The following is an 11,793-nucleotide window of genomic DNA, read 5'->3' on the forward strand; positions in this document are numbered from 1 at the left end:
TCTGATGATTCCATTCTAGTAACTTCGTTGATTCCATCAAATTCCATTTGATGATGATTCCATTCGAGTCCTATTGATGATTCCATTCGATTACATTTGATGAAGATTCCATTCAAATCCACTAAATGATTCCATTCGATTCCATTCATTGATGATTCCATTTGATTCCATTCGATGATTCTATTCTATTCCATTCAATGATGATTCCATTCAATTCCATTTTATGATTACATTCGATTTCATTCGATGATGAGTCCATATGAGTCCATTCGATGATTCCGTAAGATTACATTCGATGATGATTCCATTCAAGTCCATTCGATGATTCCATGTCATCCTATTTGGTGACGATTCCTTTGGATTTCATTCAATGATTCCATTGCATTCCATTCGCTGTTGATTCCATTTGATGTTGATTCCATTTGATGTTGATTCCATTCGTTTCCCTTCATTGATTATTCCATTGGATTCCATTCGATGATGATTTCATTTGACCCCATTCGATGATCCTTCCATTCTATTTCTTTCGATGATTCCATTCGATTCCATTCAATGATGATTCCATTCGATTCCATTCGATGATTCCATTCAATTCCATTCGATGATTCCATTCTATTCCATTTAGTGATGATTCCATTTGATTCCATCCGATGATGATTTCATTAGATTCATTTCAATCATGATTCTATTCGAGGACATTTGATGATTCCTTAAGATTAAATTCGATGATGATTCAATTTGAGTCCATTCGATGATTTCATTCAAGTCCCTTAGTTGATTCCATCCGATTCAATTTGATGATGATTCCATTTGAGTCCATTCGATGAATCCATTCAATTCCATTCGATGAATCCATTCAATTCCATTTGATGATTCCATTCGAGTCCATTCGATTATTCCATTCGAGTCCATTCGATGATTTCATTCGATTCCATTGTGTGATGATTCCATTTGATTCTATCCGATGATGATTTCATTCTATTCCATTCGATGATGATTCCATTCAGGTCCATTCGATGATTCCATTTGATTCCATTCGATGATGATTCAAGTCCGTTCGATGATTCCATTCAAGCTCCTTTGTTGATTCCATCCGATTCCATTTGATGATGATTCCATTAGAGTCCAATCGATGATTCCATTTGATACCATTCGATGATTCAATTTGAGCCACTCGATTATTCCATTCATGTCCATTTGATGATTCCATTTGATCCCATTCAATGATGATTCCATTCAATTCCATTTGATGATTCTGTTCAGTTCCATTCGATGAATCCCTTCAATTTATTTCAATGATGATTCCATTCCACTCTATTCCATTTGATGATTCCATTCAATTCTATTCGATGATGATTCCTTTTGACTCCATTCGATGATGATTCCTTTCATTTCCATTCAATGATGATTTCTTTCAATTCCACTCGATGATGATTGCATTCGATTCTATTTGATGATGACTGCATTCGGTTACATTCAATGATGATTCCAAAGGATTTCATTCGATTACTCCATTTGATTCCATTCATTGATGATTCCATTCAATTCCATTAGACAATAATTCCATTAGATTCCACTCGATGAAGATTCCATTAGATTCCATTCGATGATTCCTTTTGATTCCATTCATTGATGATTCCATTCAATTCCATTCAATGATTCCATGCGATTCCATTCGATGACAATTGCATTCACGGCCATTCGATTATTCCATTTGATTCCATTCCATGATGATTTCATTCGAGTCCGTTCAATGATTCCATTCAAGTCCATTCCATGATTCCTTTTGATTCCATTCAATGATGATTCCATTTGAGTCCATTTGATGATTCCATTTGATTCCATTTGATGATGATTCCATTCGAATCCATTCAATCATTCCATTTGATTTCATTTGATAATGATTGCATTAGATTCCATTCGGTGATTCCATTCGAGTCATTTGATGTTTCCACTAGATTCCATTCGATGACACCATTCGATTCCATTCAATGATGATTCCATTCGAGTTCATTCAATGACGATTCCATTCGGTTCAATTTGATGGTGAATCCATTGGATTCCATTCGATGATTCTGTGCTATTCCATTCGTTGATGATACCCTTCAATTCCATTCGATTATGTTTCCGTTTGATTCCCTTTTTTCATGATTCCGTTAGATTCCATTCAATGATGATTCCATTCGACTCCGTTCGATGATGATTCCATTCGAGTCCATTCGATGATTACATTCTATTCCATTCGATGACGATTCTGTTCGAGTCCATTTGGTGATTCCCTGTGATTCCATTTGATGCTGATTCCATTTGAGCCATTTGATGATTCTATTTGAATCCATTTGATGATTGCTTTCAATTATATTCAATGATGATTTCATTCAAGTCCATTCAATGATTCCATTCGATTCCATTCGATGATGATTCCATTCAGGTGCATTAGATGATTTCATTCGATTACACTCAATGATGACTCCATTCGAGTCCATTCGATGATTCCATTCGGGTCCTTTTGATTATTCCATTCGATCCCATCCCATGATGATTCCATTCAAGTCCATTCGGTGATGATGATTCTGTTCAATTCAATTTGATGATTCAATTCGATTCCATTCAATGTTTCACTTCAATTACTTCAATGATGATTCCATTCCATTCCATTCCATGATTCCATTTCATTCCATTCGAAGATGGTTCCTTTGGAATCCATTTGAGTTTGATTTCATTCGATTCCATTTATGATGTTTGAATTCTAGTCCATTCGATGATTCCATTCAAGTCCATTCCACGATGATTCCATTCGATTCCATTCGATGAGGATTCCATTCTTGTCCATTAGGTGATTCGATTCAATTCTATTGGATGATGATTCCATTTGATTCCATTCGTTGATTCCATTTGATTCCATTGGATGATGATTCCATTCCTGTACATTCGATTTTTCTGTTCGATTCCATTCGATGTTTGCTTTTGATTCCATTCGATGATGATTCCATTCTATTCCATTTGATTATGATTCCATTCAATACTATTCTATGATTCCATTCGTTTCCACTCAATGATGATTCCATTCCATTCCATTCAATGATACCATTCGATGAGTATTCCATTCAATTCATTTCGAGGATTCCATTTGATTTCATTCGAAGATGTTTCTATTCAAGTCCATTCGATGACTCCTTCCGATTCCGTTCGATGATGATTCCATTCGAAGTTTCCATTCGATTCCATTCAATAATTATTCCATTCGAGTACATTCTATGATTCAATTCAATTCCATTGGTTGATTGCATTCAATTCCATTCCATGTTTCACTTTGATTCCATAAGATGGTCATTTCATTCGATTCCATTTGATAATTTCATTCGATTCCAATCGTTGATGATTCCATTGGATTCCATTCCATGATGATTCCATTTGAGTCCATTCGGTGATGATTCCATTAGGTTTCATTTGATGATGATTCCTTTTGGTTCCATTAGATGATGATTCCATTAGTTTCCATTTGATGATTCCATTCGATTCAATTTTTGATGATTCCATTCGATTCCATTCGATGATGATTGCATTTGATTCCATTCGATGATGATTCCATTTGATGATGATTCCATTCGATTCCCTTCGATGATAATTCCACTCGATTTCATTGGATTATTCTATTCGATTCCATTTGTTGATGATTCCATTTGATTCCCTTCGATGATGATTCCTTTCCTTTCCTTTTGATGATTTTTCCATTCGATTCCATTTATGGTTATTGAATGAGAGTCCATTCAATGATTCCATTCGTGTCCTTTTGATGATTCAAGTCGAGTCCATTACAGAATGATTCCATTCGATTCTATTAGATGATGATTCCAATCAATTTCATTCGATGATGATTCCATTAGGTTTAATTTGATGATGATTCCATTCGGTTCCATTGGATGATGATTCCATTCCATTCCATTTGATGATTCCATTCGATTCCATTCGTTGATGATTCCATTCGATTCCATTCAATGATGATTTCATTTGATTCCATTTGATGATGATTCCATTTGATGACGATTCCATTCAATTCCATTTGATGATAATTCCATTTGATTTCATTTGATGATTCTATTCCACTCCATTTGATGATTATTTCATTCGATTCCATGGATAATGATTGCATAAGATTCCATGCAATGATTCCATTCGTGTCCATTTAATGCTTCCATTCGAGTCCATTTGAGGATGATTCCATTCGATTGTATTTGATGATGATTCCTTTCGAGTCCATTTGATGATTCTATTTGATTCCATTCGATGAGGATTTCACTCCAGTCCATTAGATGATTCCATTTGATTTATTTTGATTATGATTCCATTCGATTCCATATGTTGATATGATCAGATTCCATTCCTTGATGATTCCATTCGTGTCCATTCAATCATTCTATTCAAATCCATTTGATGATTGCTTTTGATTCCATTTGATGGTGATTCCATTCGATTCCATTTAATGATGATTCCATTCAAAACCATTCTATGATTCTATTCAATACCATTCGATGATGATTCCATTCGATTCCATTTGATTATTCTATTCGATTCCATTCAATGATGATTCCTTTCGATTTCATTCGATGATTCAATTCGATTCCATTTCATGGTGATTCCATTCGATTTCATTCAATAATTCCATTCGATTACCTTCGATGATGATTCCATTCCATTCCATTCAATGATTCTATTTGATGAGGATTCCATTCGATTCCTTTCGATGATGATTCCATTCGATGATGATTCCAGTCGATTCCATTCGATGATTATTCCATACAAGAGCATTCGAAGATTCCATTTGATTCCATTCGATGTTGATTCCATTAGTGTACATTCGATGATGATTCCATTTGATGATGATTCCTTTCAATTCCATTCGATGATGACTCCATTAGGTTCCATTTGATGACGATTCCATTCGGTTCCATTTGATGATGATTCCATTTGATTCCATTCAATGACTTCATTCTATTCCATTCGTTGATGATTCCATTCGCTACCATTGGATGATGATTCCGTTCAATGATGATTCCTTTCAATTCCATTCCATGATGACTCCATTAGGCTCCATTTGATGATGATTCCATTCGGTTCCATTTGATGATGATTCCATTTGATTCCATTCAATGATTCCATTCGATTCCATTCGTTGATGATTCCATTCGATAACATTCAATGATTCCATTCGATTCCATTCGTTGATGATTCCATTCGATACCATTCGATGAAGATTCCGTTCGATTCCATTCGATGATGATTCCATTCGATGACGATTCCATTCGACTCCATTCGAAGATAATTCCATTCAATTTCATTTGATGATCCTATTCGATTCCATTCGATGATTCTATTTGATTCCATTTGATGATGATTCCATTAGATTCCATTCGATGATGATTCCATTCGAGCCCATTCAATGATTCCATTCAATTCCATTCACTGATGATTGCATTCGAGTCTATTCAATGATTCCATTTGATTCCATTCCATGATGTTTCCATTCGAGTCCATTAGATGATTCCTTTCGATTCCATTGGATGATGATTCCATTCGAGTCCCTTCTATGATTCCATTTGATTCCAGTCAATCATGATTCCATACGAGTGCGTTCAATGATTCCATTCGATTCCATTCGTTGATGATTCCATTCGATACCATTTGATGATGATTCTGTTCGATTCCATTCGATGACGATTCCTTTTGATGATGATTCCATTTGATTCCATTTGAAGATGATTCCATTCGATTTCATTCGATGATCCTATTCGATTCCATTCGATGATTCTATTCGATTCCACTCGATGATGATTCCATTCGATTCAATTCTATGATGATTCCATTCCAGCCCATTCAATGATTCCATTCAATTCCACTTGCTGATGATTGCATTCGAGTCCATTCGATGATTCCATTCGATTCCATTGGATGATGATTCCATTCGATGTCATTCAATGATTCCATTCGTTTTCATTCGATTATGATTCCATTCGATTCCATTAGATGATTCCATTTGATTCCATTCGATCATAATTCCATTCGAGTCCATTCAATGATTCCATTCGATTCCATTTGATGATGATTCCATTCGGGGCCATTCATTGTTTCCATTCAATTCCATTCGATGATTCCTTTCGAGTCCATTCGATGATTTCATTCGAGTCCATTCGAGGATGATTCCTTTTGATTCCATTCCATGATTATACAATTCGAGTACATTCAAGGATGATTCCTTTTGATTCCATTTTATGATTATTCCATTCTAGTCCATTCGATGAAGATTCCATTCTATTTTATTCGATGATTCCATTCGATTCCATTCAATGATGCTTCTATTCAAGTCCGTTCAATGATTCCATTCAATTCCATTTGAAGATGATTCCATTCCAGTCCTTTAGATGATTCCATTAGATGATGATTCCATTTGATTCCTTTCAGTGATTAAATTCGATTTCATTCAATGATGTTTCTATTCGAGTCCATTTGAAGATTCCATTCAATTCCATTCTATGATAATTCCATTCGAGCCCACTGGAAGTGTGCATTCGATTTCATTCGATGATGATTCCATTCGAGTCCATTTGATGATTCCATCCGATTCCATTTGATGATTCAATTCGATTCCTTTTGATGATTCCCTTCAATTCCATTCGATGATAGTTCCATTTGATCCCATTCGATGATTCCATTCGATTCCATTCATTGACGATTCCATTGGACTGCATTCGATGATGATTCCATTTGATTTCATTTGATGATGATGGCATTCCATACCATTCTATGATTCCATTTGATTCCATTAGATGTGGATTCCATTGGAGTCCATTTGATGATTCCATTTTATTCCATTTGATGATTCAATTCAATTCCATTCGATGATTCCCTTCTATTCCATTCCAGATATTTCCATTTGAGTCCATTCACTGAATTCATTCAATTCCATTTGGTGTTTATTCCATTCGAGTCCATTCGAGGATGATTCCATTCGAGTTCATTTCATGATTCCATTCGATGCCATTCAGTGATGATTCTATTCAATTCCTTTTGATGGTGATTCAATTCGTTTCCATTCAATGGTTATTCCATTCGATTCCATTTGATGATTTCATTCAATTACATTCGATGGTTTTATTCGACTCCATTTGATAATACCATTCGATTCCATTTGTTGATTCCATTCAATTCCACTCGATGATTTCATTTGATTCCATTTGATAATTCCATTCATTGATGATTCCATTCGAGTCCATTCGCTTATTCCATTCTATTCCATTAGATGATGATTCCATTCGAGTCCATTCCATGATTCCATTCAATTACATTAGATGATTGCTCTATTCAATTCCATTCAATGATGATTCCTTTAGACCCCATTCTATGATTATTCCATTCGATTCCATTTGATGATGATTCTATTAGCTTCCATTCGATGAGGATTCCATTCGATGATGTTTCTATTCAATTAGTTTGATATTTTTTTTAATTCTTTCGAAGTTGATTCCATTCAATTCCACTGGATGATTCCATTCCATTCCAATCGATGATTATTCCATTTGATTCCATTTGATGATGAGTCATTTTGATTCCATTCGATGATGATTCCATTCTATTGCATTTGATGATGATTCCGTTTGATTCCATTCAATGATGATTCCATTCGAGTCCATTCGATGATGATTACATTAGAGTCCATTCGATGATGATTCCATTCGATTCCATTTGATGATGATTCCATTCGAGTCCATACGTTGATTGCATTTGATTCCATTCGATGTTGGTTCCATTTGAGTCAATTTGATAATTCCATTTGATTCCATTCGATGATGATTCCATTCAATTCCATTCGATGATGATTCCATTTGACTCTTTTCAGTGATTCCCTTTGATTGCATTGAATGATGATTCCATTCTAGTTCTTTCCATGATTCCATTCGATTCCATTACATGATGACGTCATTCAATTCCATTCGGTGAGGATTCCTTGCAATTACATTTGATGATTATTCCATTCGATTCCATTTGGTGATGAATCCATTCGATTCCATTTGATGATGAATCAATTCGGTGACGATTCTATTCAATTCCATTTGATGATGTTTCCCTTCCATTCCATTAGATGATGATACCATTCGATTCCATTTGATGATGACTCCATTTGATTCCATTCAATGATGATTCCATTCAAGGCCATTCGATGATTCCATTTGATTCCATTCGATGATTCCATTCGATTCCAATTTTTGATGATTCCATTCAATTCCATGTGATTATAATTCCATTTGATTCCATTCGATGATGAATCCTTCTGAGTCCATTCGATGATGATTCCATTTGAGTTCATTTGATGATTGCATTCGATTCCATTCGATGATGATTCCGTTCGATGCCATTAGATGGGGATTCCATTCGATTTCATTCAACGATCATTCCCTTTGATTCCATTCGATGATTCATTTCGATTCCACTCGATGATGATTCCGTTTGAGTCTATTCAATGATTCCATTCGATTCCATGCGATGATGATTCCATTCGGGTACATTCCATGATTCCAATCGATTCCATTCGATGGTGATTCCATTCAATTCCATTCGATGATGATCCCTTTTGGTTCCATTCGATGATGATTCCATTCTATTCCATTCGATGGTGATTCCATTCAATTCCATTCGATGATGATTCCTTTTGATTCCATTCGATGATGATTCCATTTGATTCCATTCGATGATGATTCCTTTCAATTCCATTCCATAATGATTCCATTTGATTCCATTCGATGATTAAATTCAAATACTTTTGATGATGATTCCATTCAATTCCATCTGATGATAATTCCACTCGTATCCATTCGATGATGATTCCATTGCATTCCACTCAATGATGAATCCACTCGAGTCCATTCGATTATAAAATTCTATTCCATTCGATGAGGATTCCGGTGGGGTACATTCCATGATTCCAATCAATTCCGTTCGATGATGATTCCATTCAATTCCATTCGATGATGATTCCTTTTGATTCCATTCGGTGATGACTTCATTTTATTCCATTCAGTGATGATTCCTTTTGTTTCCATTCGATGATGATTCAGTTTTATTCTATTCGATGATGATTCCTTTCAATTACATTAGATGATGATTCCATTTGATTGCATTCGATGATGATTCCTTTCGATTACATTCGATGATGATTCCACTTGATTCCATTCGATGATTAAGTTTGATTTCTTTTGATGATGTTGATGATGATTCCATTCGATTCCATAAGATGATTATTCCATTCGATACCATTCAATGGTGATTCCATTCGTTTCCATTCCATGGTGATTCCATTTGATACCATTCAATGATGATTCCTTTCAATTCCTTTTAATGATTCCATTCAATTCCATTCAATGACTCCATTTGATTTCGTTTGATGATGATTCCATTCGAGTCCATTCACTGATTCCATTTGATTCCATTCGATGATGATTCCAATCAATTCCATTTGATGATGATTCCATCTGTTTCCAATTGATGATTCCATTGGATTCCATTCGATGATGATTCATTCTGATTCCATTCAATGATTCCATTCGATTGCATTTGATGATGATTCTATTCATTTCCATTCAATGATGTTTCCATTCGAATCCATTTGATGATGATTCCACTAGAGTCCATTTGGTGATGATTCCGTTCGATTCCAGTCGATGATGATACCATTCGAGTCCATTTATTGATTCCATTTGATTCCATTCGATGATGATTCCATTCGTATCCATCCAATGATTCCATTCGTTTCTGATCGATGTTAATTCCTTTCAAGTCCATTTGATGTTTCCATTTGATTCCATTTGATGATGATTCCACTCAAAACTTTTCAATGTTTCCATTGGATTCTATTCAATGATGATGCAATTCGAGCCCATTTGATGATTCCATTCAATTCCATTCAATGATGATTCAATTTGATTCCATTCAATGGTCATTCCATTCAATTCCATTCGGTGATTCCATTCTATTCCATTCGATGGTGATTTCATTCAATTACATATGATGATTCCATTCGATTCCATTCAAAGATGAGTCCGTTCACTTCCATTCATTGATTCTATTCAATTCCATTCAATGATTCCATTCGATTTCAGTCATTGATGTTTCCATTCGAATCCATTAAATGATGATTCTGTTCAATTCCATTTGATGATGATTCCAGTCAATTCCATACGAGGATGATTCCATTAGTGTCCATTCGATGAATCCTTTTGATTCCATTCGAAGATTCCATTCGATTCCATTCCATGATGATTCCATTCAAGTCCATTCAATGATTCCATTGCCTTCCATTTGATGCTGATTCCAATTGAGTCTACTCCATGATGATTCCATTCGATTCCATTCGATGATGATTCTATTCGATTCCATTCGAGGATTATTCCATTAAAGTGCATTCGATGATTATATTCGAGTCCATTCGATGATTTCATTCGATTACTTTCAATGATGTTTCCTTTCGTGTCCATTCGATGTTACCATTTGATTCCATTCGATGATGATTTCATTTGATTACATTTCTTCTTGATTCCATATGATTCCATCTGATGATGATTCCATTCGAGTCCATTCAATGATTCTTTTCGATTCCATTTGATGATGATTCCATTAGAGTCCATTCCTTGATTCCATTTGATTCCATTCGATGATGTTTCCATTCTAGTCTGTTCGATGATTCCACTCTATTCCATTCGAACATGATTCCGTTTGAGTCCTTTCGATGATTCCATTCAATTGCATTCGATGACGATTCCATTCGATTCCATTCAATGGTGATTCCATGGAATTCCATTCGATGATTCCATTCGATTCCATTCAATGATATTTTCATTCGATTCCATATGATGATTCCATTCGATTACATTCGATGATGATTCCATTCGTGTCCATTCGTTGTTACCATTGGAATCCATTTGATGATGATTCCATTTGATTACATTTTTTCATGATTTCATTTGGTTGCATTTGATGATGATTCCATTCGTGTCCACTCAATGATTCCATTCGATTCCATTTGATGATGATTACATTAGAGTCCATTTGATTACTTCATTTGATTCCGTTTGATGATGTTTCCATTCAAGTCAATTCGATGATTCTACTCAATTCCATTCAATGATTATACCATTCGATTCCATTCAATGGTGATTCCATTCAATTACAGTCGATGATTCCATTTGATTCCATTCAATGATGATTTCATTTAATTCCATAACATGATTCCATTCGATTCCTTTCGAAGATGATTCCATTTGATTGCATTTGATGATGATTCCATTTGATTTCAGTCAATGTTGACTCCATTCGATTCCATTCGATGATGATTCCACTAGAGTCCATTCGATGATGATTCCATTAGTGTCCATTCGATGATTATTCCAATCCAGTCCATTGAATGATTCCATTCGATTCCATTCAATGATGATTCTGGTGGAGTCCATTCGATGATTCCATTCGGTTCGGTTCGATGATGATTCCACTCGAGTCCACTCGATGATGATTCCACTCAATTCCATTCCATGATGATACCACTCGAGTCCATTCGATGATTCCATTCGATTCCATTCAATGATGATTCCATTCGATTCCATTCATTGGTGACTCCATTCATTTCCATTCGTGATTCCCTTTGATTTCATTTGATGATGATTTCATTTGTTTCCATACGATGATTCCTTTCGATTCCATTTGATGATTATTCCGTTCGATTCCATTTGATGATTCCATTTGATGCCA

Source organism: Homo sapiens, chromosome 16 (genome assembly GCF_000001405.40).
Source record: "Homo sapiens chromosome 16, GRCh38.p14 Primary Assembly".
Classification (NCBI taxonomy): domain Eukaryota; kingdom Metazoa; phylum Chordata; class Mammalia; order Primates; family Hominidae; genus Homo; species Homo sapiens.